Source organism: Homo sapiens, chromosome 1 (assembly GCF_000001405.40).
Source record: "Homo sapiens chromosome 1, GRCh38.p14 Primary Assembly".
NCBI lineage: Eukaryota > Metazoa > Chordata > Mammalia > Primates > Hominidae > Homo > Homo sapiens.
Window position 1 is genome coordinate 52,831,726 of NC_000001.11, and position 21,053 is coordinate 52,852,778.

General features: G+C 46.3%; 1 protein-coding gene across 9 annotated transcripts in view, besides 5 other annotated features; it reads left to right on the forward strand.

The window, feature by feature from the left end:
- Window positions 280-1,047: an enhancer, noted in NCBI's record as "NANOG-H3K27ac hESC enhancer chr1:53297677-53298444 (GRCh37/hg19 assembly coordinates)". NCBI's record gives its function as "activates a minimal SCP1, AML or CMV promoter by ChIP-STARR-seq in naive H9 embryonic stem cells {active_cell/tissue: H9 hESC(naive)}" and the evidence as "EXISTENCE:reporter gene assay evidence [ECO:0000049][PMID:30033119]".
- Window positions 4,052-4,733: an enhancer, noted in NCBI's record as "OCT4-NANOG-H3K27ac-H3K4me1 hESC enhancer chr1:53301449-53302130 (GRCh37/hg19 assembly coordinates)". NCBI's record gives its function as "activates a minimal SCP1, AML or CMV promoter by ChIP-STARR-seq in naive and primed H9 embryonic stem cells {active_cell/tissue: H9 hESC(naive and primed)}" and the evidence as "EXISTENCE:reporter gene assay evidence [ECO:0000049][PMID:30033119]".
- Window positions 4,734-5,415: an enhancer, noted in NCBI's record as "OCT4-NANOG-H3K27ac-H3K4me1 hESC enhancer chr1:53302131-53302812 (GRCh37/hg19 assembly coordinates)". NCBI's record gives its function as "activates a minimal SCP1, AML or CMV promoter by ChIP-STARR-seq in naive and primed H9 embryonic stem cells {active_cell/tissue: H9 hESC(naive and primed)}" and the evidence as "EXISTENCE:reporter gene assay evidence [ECO:0000049][PMID:30033119]".
- Window positions 10,785-11,114: a silencer, noted in NCBI's record as "silent region_899". NCBI's record gives its function as "represses an Ori minimal core promoter by ATAC-STARR-seq in GM12878 lymphoblastoid cells {active_cell/tissue: GM12878}" and the evidence as "EXISTENCE:reporter gene assay evidence [ECO:0000049][PMID:35858748]".
- Window positions 11,035-21,053, forward strand: part of ZYG11A (zyg-11 family member A, cell cycle regulator) — a 52,239-nt gene continuing 42,220 nt past the window's right edge. For all 9 annotated transcript variants that reach the window (NM_001004339.3, XM_011541482.4, XM_011541480.4 and 6 more), the window contains exon 1: window positions 11,035-11,248. In NM_001004339.3, the coding sequence (NP_001004339.2) occupies window positions 11,159-11,248 (90 nt within the window). In that variant the 5' untranslated portion in view covers window positions 11,035-11,158. The remainder of the gene's footprint in view (window positions 11,249-21,053) is intronic.
- Window positions 11,616-12,209: an enhancer, noted in NCBI's record as "H3K27ac-H3K4me1 hESC enhancer chr1:53309013-53309606 (GRCh37/hg19 assembly coordinates)". NCBI's record gives its function as "activates a minimal SCP1, AML or CMV promoter by ChIP-STARR-seq in primed H9 embryonic stem cells {active_cell/tissue: H9 hESC(primed)}" and the evidence as "EXISTENCE:reporter gene assay evidence [ECO:0000049][PMID:30033119]".

Sequence of the window (21,053 nt, forward strand, 5' to 3'; positions counted from 1 at the left end):
CCCAGGAATATGGAAGCAAACATTGGTTTTAAACTTTCCACAATTTGTAAGTCACTGCATCAATATAATTTGAATTATTTTATCTTTTCCATGACGAGTCATGGAATGCAGAACCTTTAATAACAAAAGCTTAAGGACTTAGGAAGGACAAGGTGGCCGTCCTGGTTCTTCATGAGTCCATGCTTACCACTGGACTTAGGTCCTATTGAATACCAGTTGTTTCTCCAATATAGGTGCATGGCACTGATAACTAATGGGTTATCACAGGTAATTTGACTTAAACCATGGAGTTCATTCAAATTGTATATTTAAACAATTTGAATATTGGCTGATTTAGCATGATAATCTAGAGCTTGATTTTGAAAGGTTAAATAAATACCAAAGGTTTAAAACATTGAACATGGAATATTACAAAATAGAATCTTAAGTTACTGTAAGTCATTTAGCCAAAATGATAACTTGAAAATTTCTTTCTTTTTTTTTTTTTTTGAGATGGACTTTCACTCTTGTCACCCAGGCTGGAGTGCAATGGCACGATCTTGGCTCACTGCAACCTCCGCCTCCTGGTTTCAAGAGATTCTTCTGCCTCAGCCTCCTGAGTAGCTGGGATTACAGGTGCATGCCACCACGCCTGGCTAATTTTTGTATTTTTAGTAGAGACGGGGTTTCACTATGTTGGCCAGGCTGGTCTGGAACTCCTGACCTCAGGTGATCCGCCTGCCTCGGCCTCCCAAAGTGCTGGGATTACAGGTGTGAGCCACAGCGCCAGGCCAACTTGAAAATTTTTAAAAGGAAGAAACATTATTCTGATAGCAAGGAGATTCAGCTTTCCAAACGACCCAATGAAGATAGCCTGAGGCCGACTGATTGTCTCCTTTCCTTCCCTTCCCCCTTTTTCTTTTGTAGTTTACTTAAATGGTAAACAAAAATGCCGGGCCTTGAAAGAACAGGGCCATGAAAGGGGGTCTCTGGTGCCTCCTGTTTTTCCCAAGGAGTCCAGGCTGTTAGAACTTGAATATTCACTTTTAATTAAGCTGACTTTTAACCATAGCACTCTTTAATAAAATCCTTTTAAAATGTCTTATTACCCAATTTTAGCCAGGCCAAAAGGCTGATATTCCTGGCTTTTGAACTTTACCAAAGGTAAAGTTAAGGACTCAGGAAGGTTCTCAGAGAAAGGAAGATTTAAGATAGTCAGTGGAGAAGAGACTAGAGACGGTCATGCAGTTATTAAACCGGAAAGGACTTACTTCCTAAGCAGGGAATTGAGCTAGTGTGAAAGGGCAAAGCCTTGACTACTGAGCTACAGCACACGGCAGTCTTTTCTTTCCCTTCCCAGAAGGAGTTTAGAATAGTTAATTTTGAGCTTGCAAAGGCTTTTAGTTAAAAGATAATTTTTAGAGCTAACTATGACAGAAACCCTAAAATTATTGTTCCCTGGAAGGCAAAGACCAAGAGAAAGTATTGCCACATGGTTACAAGGTCAAGCTCCTAAGGACGTAAAACAAGATGGAGACAAACAGTGGTTTTTACCATTCATTCAACCATTTGCACAGAGAGAGAGAAGCCAGAAATTTGACTGGTAAGAAATTCCTGGCCAAGCGTGGTGGCTCACTCCTGTAATCCCAGCACTTTGGGAGGCCGAGTTGGGTGGATCACGAGGTCAGGAGATAGAGACCATCCTGGCTAACACAGTGAAACCCCGTCACTACTAAAAATACTAAAAAAAAAAAAAAAAAAAAATTAGCCGGGCGTGGTGGCGGGCGCCTGTAGTCCCAGCTACTGGGGAGGCTGAGGTGGGAGAATGGCGTGAACCCGGGAGGTGGAGCTTGCAGTGAGCCAAGATAATGCCACTGCACTCCAGCCTGGGCGACAGGGCGGGACTCCGTCTCAAAAAAAAAAAAATTCCTACCCTTTTGCCAGCATGCCAGGCTTCTGGGTTCCCTTTCCCTGAGTGGCCCTAGTGACTCAGCTTGCTGCATCATCACTCTGGGGGCCAAGCCGCATCATAAAAGAAAATTATCTTTCTTCGTTCTGGCCAGAGCAAGATACGTGTGACAAAACAGACATTAGTCACTCTGCTTAGCACCCAATATCAAACTGACAGAGCTCAAACTTGCCTCTGGTTGTGCCCCATCATCGTTAATCCAACCTCCGACCAGGAATTTCAACCTGTGGTCTCTGGGCAAGATGGTCGCCCTGAGTAACAGAAAAGATAAGCAAGGGAGCCGGGCCAGGCAAGGTGGCTCATGCCTGTAATCCCAGCACTTTGGGAGGCCAAGGCGGGCGGATTGTTTCAGGTCAGGAGTTCAAGACCAGCTTGGCCAACAGGGTGAAACCCTGTTTCTACTAAAAATACAAAAAATTAGCTGGGCGTGGTGGCGCACGCCTGTAGTCCCAGCTACTCAGTTGGCTGAGGCAGGAAAATTGCTTGAACCCGGGAGGCAGAGGTTGCAGTGAGCCAAGATCTTGCCACTGCACTCCATCCAGCCTGGGTGATAGAGCAAGACTCCAACCCAAAATAAAAAAAGAAAAGAAAGGGAGAGAGAGAAAAAAGCATTGCCTGCGGCAGGGTTGGGAAGGTGAAATGATCAGGGAAGCCAGAGAAAGACCCACCCATTGCAACGACTCTGAAAAGTTCAGTCAGCTGCTTCTCGGTAGCAAAGGGATCTTTTCCAGCAGTCTCATCAGCTCTCAAGTTTCCCCTTTTAGGGGGGAAAACGCTCCCCCGTCCCATGATCCTGTACATGCCTAATGGCCACTCACAGCCTTCAGCAAAGAGTGCAAGGCAGATTATTCCAAAGAGAATAGCAGTTGACATGCTGTAGTACCAAACCTGTTCTTAGCCAAAAGGGGCTTTACGAAGAGCCCTCATGTTTAAATGTACTTCAGTGCATTGTTGTTCATTCGGCACATTCCACTGTAAGTCACCTTTAGTAAGATTTTGCCATTTCTGTAAGACTTCGCTGCCTCCCAGGCCTAATGTATAACCCAAAAAGAACTCAGTTTTCCAGAAATTAAGGATCCCATTTTCCCATTTTTCCCTAGAATATTGACTTTACTCAGGTTCTCTTGATTAACTTAGCCAATGACTTTTTTTCCTACGTAAGCATGCACAAAAAATGAAACAAAGGGGCAGAACACAAAAATCCATGTGAATTTTCAAAAGCCAAATTTTATAACCCCTGCAATATTACTGCTTTACCACCAGTTCCTTTCTGACCCAGTCAGATGTAAGAGGCCTCTAACTTGATCCAAGCCAGTTAATTCCCAGATCAAACCTGTTCCTGGACCCAGTCCAGTTTCTGTCGCAACTCCAAACCCAGTTTGGATCAGAAATTTTCTCAAACTCCAAAACACAAATCCATGGAGCTCCAAAATCTGAGAGGGAGCTTACGATGATCCCCAGCCACTCTGAGAGATCCATGGACACAAAAATGGGTCCTGCATTGTCTTCACTCAGCACTCCTGGGGTCGCTAGAAGCTCCATTTCAGAACCCGCTTCTGACACCATCTGATAAAAGAAAAACTTCAGCCGAATTAAATTTAAAGAAGTTTAATTGAGCAATGAACCATTCGTGAATCAGGCAGTCCCCAGAATCACAGCAGATTCACAGAGATTCCTGGGGTGCCGCGTGGTCAGAACAAATGTATAGATAAAAAAGGTAAAGTGGCGTACAGGAATCAGAAGTGAGGCACAAAAGCAGTGAGATTGGGCCAGGCGCGGTGGCTCATGCCTGTAATCCCAGCACTTTGGGAGGCCGAGGCGGGCTGATCACTCGAGGTCAGGAGTTTGAGACCAGCCTGGCCAACATGGTAAAACCCCATCTCTACTAAAAATAAAAAATAAAAAAAATTACCCAGGCATGGTGGTGGGAGCCGGTAGTCCCAGCTACTCGGAAGGCTGAGGCAGAAGAATAGCTTGAACCCAGGAGGCAGAAGTGGTGAGCCAAGATCGCGCCACTGCACTCCAGCCCAGGGCGACAGAGCAAGGCTCCATCTCAAAAAAATAAATAAATAAATAAAGGGGGGCTGGGCGCAGTGGCTCATGCCTGTAATCCCAGCACTTTGGGAGGTCGAGGCGGACGGATCACTTGAGATCAGGAGTTCTAGATCAGCCTGGCCAACATGGTGAAACCCTGTCTCTACCAAAAATACAAAAATTAGCCAGGTATGGTGGTGCGTGCCTGTAATCCCAGCTACTCTGGAGGCTGAGGCAGGAGAATCGCTTGAACCCTGGGACCCAGAGGTCGACGTTGCAGTAAGCCAAGATCCCACCACTGCCTCCAGCCTGGGTGACAGAGTGAGACCCTGTCTCAAAAAAATAATAATAATAAATAAAAATAAATTAAAAATAAAAAGCCATCCTTTATTCTTCCCTTTCCCCTACTTGAAGTTTTTGTTATGTTGATTGACTTAGCCACTTCTTAACTGAAGTGTTCCTTTCTTTCCCCATTACACTTTTATCTTCTAGTCCCACATCGTCAATCTACATCATAAAAGTCCAGCGAATTGGTCTATCTGCATACCTCCACAAATTGAGAAGTGGGAGCAAAGGGTGGAAACCTTGAGCATTCACATTAATCGTTTTCATCCCTTATAATTTAAGACTCTAATGCAGTCTCAAAATTCAGCCTTTATACAGGCTCCAACTTATGAAAAAGCAAGCCATAGTGTGGAGTAGACATAAGAGCTCTTGGCTTCCAGAAGCCAGTCTTTGGGGCTGGTTTGGGGAGGTGATGCCGGTGGCCAGATGTTGAAGACTCCTGTGCTTTCAGTAGGATAGCTGTTTAAAATCATTTTGCATGGAAGCTAACACCTGTAATCCCAGCACTTTGGGAGGCCGAGGCAGGCAGATCACCTGAGGTCAGGAGTTCAAGACCAGCCTAGCCAACATAGTGAAACCCTGTCTCTACTAAAAATACAAAAATTAGCCGGGCGTGGTGGCTCACAACTATTATTCCATCTACTCAGGAGGCAGAGACAGGAGAATCGCTTGAACCCAGGAGGCAAGAGGTTGCAGCTAAGATCATGCCACTGCACTCTAGCCTGGGTGACAGAGTGAGACACCATCTCAAAAAAATAAATAAGTAAATAAATTCATCTTGCAGTGACTTGGTCAAGGATTGCCTCTGAAGAGTGTCTTCTAGATTGGAATGTAAATCTAAGAGATAAGAACACAACAACAACAACAACAAACCTTAGCTCTCTTGTCCTTGAACATTAACACACATTATAAAAGGAACCATTTAAGGCCAGGCGCAGTAGCTCACGCCTGTAATCCCAGCACTTTGGGAAGCTGAGGCAAATAAAATCACTTGAGGTCAGGTGTTGGAGACCAGCCTGGCCAACATGGTGAAACCCTGTATCTACTAAAAATGCAAAAATCAGCCAGGCAAGGGCTGGGTGTTATGGCTCCTGTGTAATCCCAGCGCCTTGGGAGGCCAAGGCGGGTGGATCACCTAAGGTCAGGAGTTTGAGACCAGCCTAACCAACTTGGCGAAACCCCATCTCTACTAAAAATACAAAAATTAGCTGGGCTTGGTGGCAGGCACTTGTAATCCCAGCTACTTGGGAGGCTGAGGCACGAGAATCACTTGAACCCAGGAGGCGGAGGTTGCAGTGAGCCGAGATCGGGCCATTGCATTCCCACCTGGATGACGAGCAAAACTCTGTCTCAGAAAAAAAAAAAAAATTACCCTGGCATGGTGGCAGGTGCCTGTAATCCCAGCTACTCGGGAGGCTGAGGCAGGATAATCACTTGAACGCGGGAGGCAGAGGTTGCAGTGAGCTGAGATGGTGCCTTGCACTCCAGCCTGGGGGACCTAGCAAAACTACATCTCAAAAAAAAAATCTTGTAGGGAAGATAATTATCCTCCATTTTTCAGATGAAGGGAAGCCTACTGAGGTCAAATGACTTGCCTCAAATCACACAGGTAGCAAATAGAGCAACTTGTAGATTAAACATCCACACTATTTTTTCTTAATTTTTGTTTAAGATGTGCCTGGCAGGGCACGGTGGCTCATGCCTGTAATCCCATCAGTTTGGGACGCCCATCACTTTGGGAGGGCGAGGTGGGCAGATCACCTGAGGTCGGGAGTTCAAGACCAGCCTGACCAACATGGAGAAACCCTGTCTCTACTAAAAATACAAAATTAGCCGGGCGTGGTGGCACATGCCTGTAATCCCAGCTATTCTGGAGGCTGAGACAGGAGAATCATTTGAACCCAGGAGGCGGAGGCTGCAGTGAGCCGAGATCATGCCACTGCACTCTAGCATGGGCAACAAAAGTGAGACTCAGTCTCAAGAAAAAAAAAAAGGATGTGGCGGGGGTGGGGGGTGTCTCATTATGTTGCCCAGGCTGGCATCGAAATCCTGGACTCAAGCACTCCTCCCACCTTGGCCTGCCAATGGGATTAATTACAAGCTTGAGCCACTGCACCCAGCCCAAACCTACACACTATCTTGCCATTGGATTTCCTACTCTGTGGAAAACATGCAGCTTTGTTTTTGTTTTTTGTCCTTTTTTTCCTCCTTTTTGTGGGAATGGGGTCTCGCCATATTGCCCAGGCAGGTCTCGTACTCCTGGGTTCAAGCTATTCCCCTGTCTCTGTCGCCCTAAGGACTGGGATTACAGGCGTGAGCCACTGCGCCTGGCAACTTGCTGCTTTGTATAATCTCAGTAGAAGGGCCGGGCGCAGTGGCTCAAGCTGTAATCCCAGCACTTTGGGAGGCCGAGGCGGGCGGATCACAAGGTCAGGAGATCGAGACCATCCTGGCTAACACGGTGAAACCCCGTCTCTACTAAAAATACAAGAAGTTAGCCAGGCGTGGTGGTGGGCGCCTGTAGTCCCAGCTACTTGGGAGGCTGAGGCAGGAGAACAGCATGAACCTGGGAGGCAGAGCTTGCAGTGAGCCGAGATTGCACCACTGCACTCCAGCCTGGGTGACAGAGTGAGACCCCATCTCAAAAAAAAAATAAAAAAATAAAAAATAATCTCAGTAGAATATGAGGAAAAAAGGATAGCCAGAAGCCCTCCAAAACTGATTCATGAAATAAAACACATAATTGATTTTTTTTTCTTAAACACAGAGTATCAAAAGACACAGGACAGGGTGCCCAGATCGACTGTTCTGTGCTCCAAATAATAACAATGATAATTTCATTTTTTAAATTTATTGTTATTTATTTTTTATTTTTGTCTGAGATGGAGTCTTGCTCTGTTGCCTAGGCTGGAATGCAATGGCGCAATCTGGGCTCACTGCAACCTCTGCCTCCCATGTTTAAACGATTCTCCCGCCTCAGCCTCCCGAGTAGCTGGGATTACGGGCATCTGCCACCAAGCCCGGCTAATTTTGTATTTTTACTAGAGATGGAGTTTCATCATGTTGGCCAGGCTGGTTTTGAACTCCTGACCTCAGGTGATCCACCCACCTCAGCCTCCCGAAGTGCAGGGATTACAGGCATGAGCCACTGCGCCCAGCCGATTTTATTTATTTATTTTTTTTGAGACACAGTTTCCTTTTTGTCACCCAAGCTGGAGTGCAATGGCACAATCTCGGCTCACTGCAATCTCCACCTCCCAGGTTCAAGTTATTCTCTTGCTTTAGCCTCCCAAGTAGCTGGGATTACAGGCGCCTGCCACCCCGCTTGGCTAATTTTTGTATTTTTAGTAGAGAGAGAGTTTCATCATGTTGGTCAGGCTGGTCTCGAACTCCTGACCTCAAGTGATCCATCCACCTCGGCCTCCCACAGTGCCGGGATTACAGGAGTGAGCCACCACGCCTGGCCAATAACAATAATTTTAAAAGCAAAACCGCTCTGTAGGTTATTTGCCCACAAGCAGCACTTGGCTCCTGGCCTTAAAAATGCCAGGAGAAGACTGACAATCAGGCCACCGCTTTGTGCCCATGACAGAAACGGCAAAGCCTATTTTTTTTTTTTTTTTTTTTTTTGAGACGGAGTCTCACTCTGTCGCCCAGGCTGGAGTGCAGTGGCGGGATCTCGGCTCACTGCAAGCTCCGCCTCCCGGGTTCACGCCATTCTCCTGCCTCAGCCTCCCAAGTAGCTGGGACTACAGGCGCCCGCCACTACGCCCGGCTAATTTTTTGTATTTTTAGTAGAGACGGGGTTTCACCGTTTTAGCCGGGATGGTCTCGATCTCCTGACCTCGTGATCCGCCCGCCTCGGCCTCCCAAAGTGCTGGGATTACAGGCGTGAGCCACCGCGCCCGGCCCTATTTTTTTATTTTTATTTATTTTTTAAGAAAGAGAGTCTCACTCTGTCGCCAGGCTGGAGTGCAGTGGCGTCATCTCGGCTCACTGCAACTTCCGCCTCCTGCGTTCAAGGAATTCTCCTGCCTCAGCCTCCCGAGCAGCTGGGACTACAGGCGCACACCACCATGCCCAGCTAATTTTTGTGTTTTTAGTAGAAACGGGGTTTCTCCATGTTGGTCAGGCTGGTCTCAAACCCCGACTTCAGGTGATTCACTTGCCTTGGCCTCCCAAAATGTTGGGATTACGGTGTGAGCCACTGCACCCAGCCACTTTTATTTACTTATTTTTACTTTTTGCAACAAAGTCTCGCTTTGTCACCGGGGCTGGAGTGCAATGGCGCAATCTAAATTTACTGCAACCTCTGCCTCCTGGGTTCAAGCAAATCTGGCTCAGCCTCCCAAGTAGCTGGGATTACAGGGATGCGCCACCATGCCCAGGTAATTTTTTTGTGTATTTTTAGTAGAGATTGGGTTTCACTATGTTGGCCAGGCTGGTCTTGAACTCCTGACTTCAGGCGATCCACCCATCTCGGCCTCCCATAGTGCTGGGATTACAGGCATGAGCCACCGTGCCTGGCCTCATGTGTTACGTTTTAAATTAATTGGTTTAATAATAAGAGCTTAAATAAAATATTTTGTCAGAAAAGTGAAAAACATAATGCCTTTTATTTAGTTCATGTGACTTGGGTAATCTTTGGGAAATAAAGATGGGTTTAAAGATTATTGATAAAATACAAATGTCTTCAAAATGTAAACATGTGGTCAAAATTATGTTCAAATATTAGGTTTGCTAAATGCTTTAAGGTCATAAACTGCTTCCTTGGCTTTTGAAAATTGTTTAACTTGCCTGTTTTCTAGCTCGGTAAGGCCTGGGACATATGCAGTTGGCCACACCTCTAGATATGCTGGAAATAGTCAAACCTTATGAGAACATAACTTACCAGGTTCTATATTAAAGTTAAAATTGCTGAAATTCACACTTCAGCTGTAATAGGAAATATCCTCTCCATTGGGCAAAAGCCGAGGAAATGACTGTAACTTTCCTTCATCCTCGTCATTTACATAGGGCATACCCCAAGTAGAGGGTATTTAAACTCCCAAAAATTCTGTAACGGGGTCTTTGAGCCCCAGTGCTCGGGCCCACTCCCACATTGTGGCATTGTGGAGTGTACTTTCATTTTCAATAAATCCCTTCATTCCTTCCTTGTTTGTGCGTTTTGTCCAATTCTTTGTTCAAGACACCAAGAACATGAACACCCTCCACCGTTAACAAAAGCATATTGGCGGGGGCACGGTGGCTCACGCCTGTAATCCCAACATTTTGAGACGCCGAGGCGTGCGGATCACCAGGTCAGGAGATCTAGACCATCCTGGCCAACATGGTGAAACGCTGTCTCTACTAAAAATACAAAAATTAGCCGGGTGTGGTGGCGCGCGCCTGGAGTCCCAGCTGCTTGGGAGGCTGAGGCAGGAGAATCACTTGAACCCAGGAGGCGGAGGTTGCTGTGAGCTGAGATCGCGTCACTGCACTCCAGCCTGGGCAACAGAGCGAGACTCCGTCTAAAAAAAAAAAAAAAAAAAAAGCATATTGATTGGACTTGCAGTAAGAAAACTCAATTTTGACTCCCAGGTTGGCCACTCATCAGCTGGCCAAAAAACGTGTTGTCTATTCAACCTGTCAGTTCTTCAGTTTCCCTGTGAGAAAAATGGGGATGATACCTACAGCACAGGATTTTTTTTCTTCTTGTAGTAAGTGGATTAAATAAAAGAATAAATAAATGAAAGAAAAGCATTAGGCAAAGTACTTAAAAATAATTTTAACATCTGAATCCAATCCACTTATCAAGGACTTACTATGTAAAAAGCATTGTGATGTGTTTTACATACATTATTTAATCCTTACATTAAGTCTGTGAGATAAAGCATTCTCATTCTATTTTACTGATGAGGAAGTTGAGCTTCAGAGACATCAAGAATCTTGCTCCAGGTTCTCAAACACTAGATGGCTGAGCGGGCATTCTAATTCAGGATTCAAACTCCAAGGCTCATGCTCTTGAGAACTTTCCTTTTCCAAGGTATTGCTTTCTCTTAAATTAGCTAATGTGTACTAACTTGTGGAGTTTCTTTCCTGGAGAAAGTTAGAAGGGTCTCTCGGGGTTTCTTTCTTGGAGCAGGTTATAAGGGTCTTCTCGAGTACTTTTTAAGTAACAAGAAAGCTAAATAGATTTTTTGGTAGATACTTGCCAATATTTTGTATTCGTTTTATATTTGATTTATCCAGATACTCTAAGGAGTTGAAACAGAGAGGACCGTTAGAGAGGTGCTGTTGCCAGATTTTCAGGGGCAAAGTCTTTGAAATATATATTTTAATGTATGAAAGCTTTAAAAAATATATACATATATAGAAATAATGAATATGTGTGTGTGTGTGTGTGTGTGTGTGTGTGTGTGTGTGTGTACATGTATATATATATACAGTATTCCCCAAACCTACACAGCCGGTCCTCGGGGAATATCCTCTCAAGCCCTGAGGTGCAGGGCTGGGAAGGAGTGGGTGAGCGGCTGGGTCGTGGCAGGTTGGTCTGGGGAGGCTGGGGAGGCTGGGGAGGCGGGAGGAGAACGGTTGGCCCCGGCAGCGGCGTGTCGGAGGGCGGATGGGGCTAGGAGGCCGCCCGGGGGGTGGGGTCTGCGGCGGGCCGGCCCCCGCGTGCGCGTCGCCTCGCCGGGCATTTCAAAAGCTCGCCGGCAGGGCGCGGCGCTAGCTCCGTGTGCCTCGCAGGCGTGGTGGGCGCGTCCTGGCAGCCGCCCGCTTGGTTCTCGCGGGATCCGGGCTCCGGCTCGACGCCGGCTCTCTTTTTGACGCCCCGCCGCCGGGGTTGCCATGGTTCATTTCTTGCACCCGGGCCACACGCCCCGGAACATCGTCCCTCCTGACGCTCAGAAGGATGCCCTGGGCTGCTGCGTGGTACAGGTGAGCACCGGGGTGCGGGCGGCGACGCGGACCTCGGCGCCACGTCCAGCTCCGGCGAGCGCGGCGAGTCTCCTGGGACGCTGCCGAGGCACTTGCTGGGGAGTGTGGCCCGCGCGGGGCTGCGGTCTAGATGCCGAGCCCCTTCCAGGCGCAGGCGTCGCTGCGGAGGTGCGTTGTCGGGGGAGGCGGCCTGGGCGCCGCGGAGCGGGGGGTGCTTTTCTGCGCCCGGCGAAGCGCGTGGAACTTGCGCCCTGAGGCAGCGCGGCGAGAGCCCAGTCCCAGAGACCGGGGCGAGCCTCCTCAGGATTCCTCGCCCCAGTGCGGGCTGCTGTGAGCTTAGACGTAGGTGCAGGGCATGGCACTCGGCTTGGCCCGTAGTGGACGGTGTTTTTGCAGTCATGAACCCAAACGCCGCAAACCTTGACCGTTTCCCCACCCGTGTTGTGGACGCAGCGCCCCGCGGAGGCGGTGACCCTTTGGCCGTTACCACCTGAGGCCTTTGGGCCCGGGGCCGGGCGAGTAGCTTAGTCCGGCTGGGGGAACTGGAACCCGAAGTCTGAGATTCTTTCAGTTCCGCGCGTCCGCCCCCGTCCCCGTCCCGTCCCCAGCCTTTGCCGAATGCCTGTTACTCTTAGCTCTGGACAAAATGCAAACCCAAAGAATGTGTGTTTAGCGCCTGCTGTGTGTTAAGTGTCGCCTTTCTTTTCTTTCTTTCTTTTTTTTTTTTTTTTTGAGACGGAGTCTCGCTCTGTCACCAGGCTGGAGTGCAGTGGCGCGATCTGGGCCCACTGCAACCTCCGCCTCCGGGGTTCAAGCGATTCTTCTGCCTCAGCCTCCCGAGTAGGTGGGACTACAGGCGCGTGCCACCATGCCCGACTCATTTTTTGTATTTTTAGTAGAGACGGGGTTTCACCATGTTGGCCAGGATGGTTTCGAACTCCAGACCTCGTGATCTACCCGCCTCGGCCTCCCAGAGTGCTGGGATTACAGGCGTCAGCCACCGTGCCCGGCCAAGTGTCGCCTTTCTAAAGCAGTCTGGTAACCCCTAGTCTTTTGTAGGCTTTGCTAGGCTCCATTTTACCGATGTAGGGAAGTTGGGAGCTCTGAAATTTAGTTGACTTGCTCGTGAACTTGAATTTCACCTCAGGTGTTCAGACCTCTGGCCCCACTTTGGAAAAAACCCGCCAAGGGCCACCCTTGGGGAACTCGAGGGATTGAGTGGTGAAGGCTCGACCCAAAATTTATGGAGAGAAGGAAATGTTCTGATTAAGGTTGTGCTTTACATATTAACGCCTTGTTGGAAGACTTTGTGCCCTGCAGTGATCTAGCCTGTAATCTTTTGAACTCATTTAGAAAAGTTATATAATTTGTGGATTTGTAATTAATGGAAAACTTGGATTTTTTACGTGTGTGCTAGCATCGTCTCAAGCACATTTTTTCCTGCTTGGAATCGAAACAAGATTTCTTTACAAAAGTACTCACACCCATTTTCTCTGTCTAGTTCTGGGTATATCTCATTTTCTTTGTTAAGGATTTTATTTATTTTTAATTAATTATTTTAATTACACAAATATTGCATGAATACTTTTTTCCCTATGAAACATACATACAATTATTTCCATTTATGTCATTTTAATCTTCTCTTAGCAATGTTTTGTAGTTTTTAATATAAAAGTCTTTTCACATTTTGTTAAATTTGTTCCTGTTCTTGATACTATTGTAAATACTTTTTTTTTTTGAGACGGAGTCTCCCAAAGTGCTGGGATTACAGGCATGAGCCACCGTGCCCGGCCAGCAAATATTTTTTAAAACTTTATATTACCTTGTGTATATATAAGAATACATAAAATTGATTTTTGTATATTGATCTTGTATCCTACAGCCTGGCCAAAGTCACTTAGTTTTCTTTATTTTTTTGTAAATTTTTAAAGATTTTCTACACAGTCATATTATTTTCTTTTTATCCTTTTAATTTTTTATTTTTAATTAAGACGGTGGTTTCCCTATTGTCCAGGCTGGTCTTTGAACTCCGGCTCAAGCAATCCTCTTGCCTTGGCCTCCCATATCTTTTCAATTTTTTGCTTCATGAATTTTGAAGCTATTAGTAAGTTCGTATGCATTTAGGAATGTTAATTCTGCTTGATGAATTGGCCCTTTTATCATTAAGAAATGTCCATCTTGATCTCTAGCAATATTCTTGTCCAGAAGCCTCATTTTTTCTGACAGTGTAGTCACTCCAGTTTCCTTGTGTCTAGTGTTTAACAACTGTATGTTTTAAATTGTGTCTCTTGTAAACAGCAATCTTGCATTTGTATGTAGCCTAATGGTCTGTGCTTTTTTTTTTTTTTTTGAGACGGAGCCTTGCTCTGTCACTCAGGCTGGAGTACAGTGGTACAATCTTGACTCACTGCAACCTCCGCCTCCCGGGTTCAAGCGATTCTCTCGCCTCAGCCTCCTGAGTAGCTGGGACTACAAGTGTGTGCCACCATTTCCTGGCTAATTTTTGTATTTTTGTAGAGACAGGTATTTTTGTAGAGGCGGGGTTTCACCATGTTGCCCAGGCTGGTCCTGAACTCCTGGCCTCAAGCGACCTGCCCATCTTGACCACCCAAAGTGCTGGGATTACAGGCGTGAACCACTGCACCCAGCCTTTATTTTTGAATTTTTTTTTTTTTTTTTTTACAGAGGACAGGAAAGTAAACATTTTAATTTTTTTAATTAAAAATGTATTTTTTAAATTGATTTTTGCAGGGAGGAGAGAGTCTCACTCTGTTGCCCAGGTTTGAGTGCAGTCTGTGATCATAGCTCATCCTCCCTCCTCAGCCTCCCTAGTAGCTAGACTATAGGTGTGCACCACCATGCCTGGCTGTTTTTTATTTTTTGTAGAGGCTGAGTCTTGCTTTGTTGCCCAGGCTAGTCTCAGACTTCTGGCCTCAGCCTCCCAAAGTTCTGGGATTCCAGATGTGAGCCACTGTGCCCGGCCTTTCTGTGCTTTTTAATTAGAATAAATATAATTATCAGTATTGTTGGGGTTAAGTCTACTGTGTTGCTATATATGTTCCATTTGTCTTGTTTTTTCCTTTTCTTTTGAATTATTTAGAAAATACCATGTTCTCTTTTGACTTAGTAGTTCTCTCTTTCTCTCCCTTTCTCCTTCTTACTCTTTAATAGTCACTCAAAGGTAGCTGTTTTCAAAGTGTGGACCCCAGGACCTCCAGAATCCCATCTCTTCCATTAGCCTGCCTGTTAATGAAATTTGCAAAAATGTAAAACAGTGCTGCTGTTCTCAACTAAGCTAGTTTTTAGTTCTTTTGGAAATCATGGCTTTTTAAATTTTTATATATATATATATATATATATATATATATATATATATATATATATATATATATATTTTGAAACAGAGTCTCACTCTGTTGCCCAGGCTGGAGTGCAGTGGCATGATCTTGGCTCACCACAACCTCCGCCTCCCAGGTTCAAGCGATTCTCCTGCTTCAGCCTCTTGAGTAGCTGGGACTATAGGTGCACGCCACCATTCCCGGCTAATTTTTGTATTTTCAGTAGAGATGGGGTTTCACTATGTTGGCCAGGCTGGTTGAACTCATGATCCATCCACCCTGGCCTCCCAAAGTACTAGGATTACAGGCAAGCCATCGCGCCCGGCCAATTATGGCTATTTTAAAAAATGTTATCTATGTTAACATGCTCTGAGTTTTTAATTTTTTCTATGTGAATTAATGTGTATTTTAAAGATTGCTAAGATTTAATTTTTAACGTGGTATATGTTGATAGATATAACCCAATTTTTAAGAGTGTAGAGTGGTACTAGGACCAAAAAGCTTGGGAGCCACATCTCTAGGCTTTAAAATTACATTTTTGTCTGTTCACATTTACTTTTTTTTTTTTTTTTGTCGCCCAGGCTGGAGTGCAGTGGCGCAATGTCAGCTCACTGCAAGCTCCGCCTCCCGGGTTCACGCCATTCTCCTGCCTCAGTCTCCCCAGCAGCTGGGACTACGGGTACACGCCGCCACGCCTGGCTAATTTTTGTATTTTTAGTAGAGACGGGGTTTCACTGTGTTAGCCAGGATGGTCTCAAACTCCCGACCTCAGGTGTTTCGCTGTTGTTGCCCAGGCTGGAGTGCGGTGGCGTGATCTCGATCTCGGCTCACTGCAGCCTCCGCCTCCCAGGTTGAAGCGATTCTCCTGCCTCAGCCTCCTGAATAGCTGGGATTATAGGTGTGCACCACCACACTCTGCTAATTTTTGTATTTTTAGTAGAGACAGGGTTTCACCATGTTGATCAGGCTGGTTTTGAATTCCTGACCTTGTGATCCACCCACCTTGGCCTCCCAAAGTGCTGGGATTACAGGTGTGAACCACGGTACCTGGCCTAATTTTGTATTTTTAGTACAGACAGGGTTTCTCCATGTTGGTCAGGCTGGTCTCGAACTGCCGACCTCAGGTGATCGGCCCGCCTTGGCCTCCCAAAGTGCTAGGATTACAGGCATGACATGAGCCACCGTGCCCAGCCTGTCATTTTTTTTTTTTTTTAGCTTAAAGAACTTTTAATATTTCTCATAGCATATGAGCTGGCGACAAGTTGTCTCTGCTTTTGTTTATCTGAGAATATATTTCATTTTCATATTTGAAAGATGTTTTCATGGATCTGACAGTGTTTCCCCTGTACTGTACTTTGTTTTTTTTTTTTTTTCCTTGGGACGGAGTCTCGCTCTGTTTCCAGGCTGGAGTGCAGTGGCGCGATCTCGGTTCGCTGCAACCTCTGCCTCCTGGGTTCAGGTAATTCTCCTGCCTCAGCCTTCCGAGTAGCTGGGACTACAGGTGTGTGCCACCACGCCTTGCTAATTTATTTATTTATTTATTTATTTATTTATTTATTTATTTATTTATTTTTTTGAGATGGAGTCTCGCTCTGTCGCCTAGGCTGGAGTGCAGTGGCGCGATCTCAGCTCACTGCAAGCTCCGCCTCCCTTGTTCACGCCATTCTCCTGCCCCAGCCTCCTAAGTAGCTGGGACTATAGGCGCCTGCCATCATGCCTGGCTAATTTTTTGTATTTTTAGTAGAGATGGGGTTTCACCATGTTAGCCAGGATGGTCTCAATCTCCTGACCTCGTGATCCGCCTGCCTCAGTCTCCCAAAGTGCTGGGATTACAGGCGTGAGCCACCATGCCCAGCTATTTTTGTATTTTTAGTAGAGACGGGGTTTCACCATGTTGGCCAGGTGGGTCTTAAACTCCTGACCTGGTGATCCGCCTACCTTGGCCTTCCAAAAGTGCTGGGATTACAGGTGTGAGCCACTGCACTCGCCCGACATGCTTTGTTTTGGTGACAATTCAGTGATCATACCTTTTTTTTCTTCTGTGTCCACTCCCCCGTCATAAGCTTTTTCTCATTGTTGGTTTTTAGAAGTTTCCCATATTGTGCTTTTTTTGTTTATTCTGCTTTGGGTCTGTTTTGCTTCCGAAATCAGTGGGTTTATATCTTGCATCTGATTTGAACTTAAAAAAATAAAATGACATAAAATAAAGACAGACTGGGTCTTGCTTTGTTGCCCAGGCCAGTCTTGAGCTCTGGTCTCAAGCAGTCCTCCCACCTCAGCCTCCCACACTTTGTATTTTTAGTAGAGACGGGGTTTCTCCCACACGTTGGGAGGCTGAGGTGGGTGGATCACCTGAGGCCAGGAGTTCAAGACCAGCCTGGAGAATCTCTACTAAATATACAAAAATTAGCCAGATGTGATGGTGAATGCCTGTAGTCCCACCTACTTGGGAGGCTGAGGCACGAGAATGGCTTGAACCTGGGAAGTGGAGGTTGCAGTGAGCCGAGATCATGCTACTGCACTGCAGCCTGGGCAACAGAGCTAGACTCTGTCTCAAAAATAAAAATAAAATTAAAAGTAAAAAAAATGGAGACATCAAATTTATTTTACTATTCTTTGCACCCAGTGAATTAATTAACTATATTTCAATATAGTTAAACCACAGAGCAGTTTTATAGGTTCCAAGTATAAGACGTTGTCCTTATTATTTTTTGTTAAAATATTCTTTCCCAATTCTTTTGGAGTTTCTTTACTTCTTTTTCTTTTTTTTTGAGACCGAGTCTCACTCTGTCGCCCAGCTGGAATGCAGTGGCGTGATCTCACCTCACTGTAACCTCCGATTCCCTGGTTCAAGAGGTTCTCCTGCTTCAGCCTCCTGAGTAGCTGGGATTGGGATTACAGGCGCGTGCCACCACGCCCAGCTGATTTTTGTATTTTTAGTAGAGATGGGGTTTCACCATATTTGCCAGGATGGTCTCAATCTCCTGACCTTGTGATCTGCCCACCTCAGCCTCCCAAAGTGCTGGGATTACAGGTGTGAGCCACCGCGCCCAGCCTCTTTACTTTTTTTGAGACCAAGTCTTGCTCTGTCGCTCAGGCTGGAGTGCAGTGGCGCGATCTCCGCTCACTGCAGCCTCCTGCCTCCCGGGCTCAAGGGACTCTCATGTCTCAGCCTCCTGAGTAGCTGGGATTTACAGGTGTGCGCCAACATGCCCAGCTAATTTTTTTGTATTTTTAGTAGAGATGGAGTTTCACCATGTTGGCCAGACTGGTCTTGAACTCCTGGCCTCAAGTGATCTGCCCGCCTCGGCCTCTAAGCGTGCTGGGATTACAGGCGTGAACCACTGTGCTGGCCTAGAGTTTCAATTATACATTTCTTTTTTTTTTTTGAGACGGAGTCTCCCTCTGTCGCCCAGGCTGGAGTGCAGTGGCGCGATCTCGGCTCACTGCCAGCTCCACATCCCGGATTCATGCCATTCTCCTGCCTCAGCCTCCCGAGTAGCTGGGACTACAGGCACCGGCCACCACGCCCAGCTAATTTTTAAAATGTTTTTAGTAGAGACGGGGTTTCACCGTGTTAGCCAGGATGATCTCCATCTGCCGACCTCGTGATCCGCCCACCTCGGCCTCCTAAAGTGCTGGGATTACAGGCGTGAGCCACCACACCTGGCCTCAATTATACATTTCTAACAGGCTGCTTAAGATTGGTTAAGAAGTGCCTTAATTGGGGCACCATGGTTTTCAACTTTTTTCCCAACCTTTTTCTGTTTCAGTTTGAGTCATTTCTATTGTCCTGACTTCATCTTTAGTGATCTCTTATTTTGTAGTTCTGATCTGCTGATAATCCTATCTGCTGTTTTTTTCTTTTGAGACATAGTTGCCAGGCTGGAGTGCAGTGGCACAATCTCAGCTCACTGCAACCTCCGCCTCCTGGGTTCAAGCGATTCTCCTGCCTCAGCCTCCAAAGTAGCTGGGACTTACAGGCGCAAGCACCGGTACGCCCAGCTATTTTTTTTTTTTTTTTTGAGATGGAGTCTCATTCTGTTGCCCAGGTTGGCGTGCGGTGGAGTGATCTCAGCTCACTGCAACCTCTGCATCCCAGGTTCAAGCTATTGTCCTGCCTCAGCCTCCCAAATAGCTGAGATTACAGGTGCCTGCCACTACACCCGGCCAATTTTTTGTATTTTTAATAGAGACGGGGTTTCACCACGTTGGCCAGGCTGGTCTCGAACTCCTGACCTTGTGATTCGCCTGCCTCAGCCTCCCAAAGTGTTGGGATTATAGGCGTGAGCCACCGCGCCCAACTTCTAATTTTTGTATTTTTAATAGAGACGGGGTTTCACCATGTTGGCTAGGATGGTCTGTATCTCCTGACCTTGTGATCTGCCCGCCTCGGCCTCCAAAAGCTCTGGGATTATAGGCATGAGCCACTATGTCTGGCCTGGTGTATTTTTTCAACTCTAGACGTTTCCTTTTGGTCTTTTTCATATCTTCTGTTTTTCTGTTGATTCCATATTTGTTCTTTTATTGTGTTCATGTTCTGTTTTAAACCCACGAATTATAATAGCCATTTTAAATTCCTGTCTGTTAGTTAGGTTATTTCAGTTATTTTGGGATTTGTTTCTATTGACTTTTTTTTCCTGCTTCTCATGTCTGATATTTTATTGTAAGCTGAACTTTATGGATGCTACTTTGAGTGTCTATATATATTTTGCAATTCAGAGACTTAAAATTTTTTTTTTTGAGACAGGGTCTCATTTTGTCATCCAGGCTGGAGTGGAGGGGCGCAATCACGGCTCATTGCCTCACTGCAGCCTTGACCTCCTGGGCTCAAGCAATTCTCCTGCCTCAGCTCCCCAGGTAGCTGGGACTCAGGCACACCCTACCACATCTGGCTAATTTTTTCGTATTTTTTGTGGAGACGGGGTTTTGCCATGTTTCCACATCTGGTCTTGAACTCCTCAGCTCACATGATCTACCTGCCTTGGCCTTTGATGCTGGGATTACAGGTGTGAGCCACTGTGCCCAACCAGGAGACTTTTCATATATGTGTGCATATGTATGTAACCATTACCACAGTCAATTTATTCTTCTTATTATTTTTGAGACAGGGTCTCACTCTGTCACCCAGGCTGGAATGTAGTGGCGCGATCTGGGCTCACTACAACCTCTGGCTCCCGGGTACAAGCGTTTCTCCTGCCTCAGCCTCCCGAGTGGCTGGGATTACAGGCACGAGCCACCACACCTGGCTAATTTTGGTATTTTTATAGCAGGGACAGGGTTTCAACATGTTGGCCAGGTTGGTCTCGAGCTCCTAACCTCAAATGATCAGTCTGCCTCTGCCTCCCAAAGTGTTGGAATTATAGGCGTGAGCCACCATGCCCGGCACACAGTTTATTTTATTATTTATTTTAATTAATTTATTTATTTTATCTTACTTATTTTTTATTTTTTGAGATATAGTCTCACTCTGTTGCCCAGGTTGGAGTGCAGTGGTGTGATCTCAGCTCACTGCAACCTCCACCTCCCTCGTTCAAGTGATTCTGCTGCCTCAGCCTCCTGAGTAGCTGGGATTACAGGCACCCGCCACCATGCCTTCCTAATTTTTTTTTTTTTTTTTAATGATGGAGTCTTGCACTGTCACCCGGGCTGGTGTACAGTGGCACAATCTTGGCTCGCTGCAACCTCCGCCTCCCGGGTTCAAGTGATTCTCCTGCCTCTGCCTCCCGAGTAGCTAGGATTACAGGCGCCTGCCACCACTCTCGGCTAATTTTTTGTATTTTTATTAGAGACGGGGTTTCACTATGTTGGCCAGGCTGGTCTTGAACTGCTGACCTCATGATCCACCCACCTCAGCCTCCCAAAGTGCTGGGATTACAGGCGTGAGCCACCGTGCCTGGCCAGTTTTTGTATTTTTGGTGAAGATGGGGTTTCACCGTGTTGGCCAGGCTGGTCTCGAACTCCTGACCTCATGATCCACCCACCTCATCTTCCCAAAGTAGTGTGATTACAGGAGTGAGCCTCTGCACCTGGCCCGACAGTTAATTTTAGAGCAAATTTTTTTTTTTTTTTTTTTGAGGTAGAGTCTGTCACCCATGCTGGAGTGCAGTGATGCTATCTTGGCTCACTGCACTCTCTGCCTTCTGGGTTCAAGGGATTCTCCTGCCTCAAGGCTCCTGAGTAGGTGGGACTATAGATAGGCATGTGCCACCATGCCTGGCTAATTTTTTATTTTTAGAACAGGGTTTTGCTATGTTGGCCAGGCTGGTCTCAAACTCATGACCTCAAGTGATCCACCCGCCTTGGCCTCCCAAAATGCACGAATTAACAGCTACCACGCTTGGCCAGCGTTTCTATTTTGTAGAGGAGAAAGGCATTTTTTGCCTTATGATAGGGTTATATACCAATAAAACCCTTGTAAATTTAAAATATTCTAAGTTCAAAATGCATTTAAGACACCTAAACTA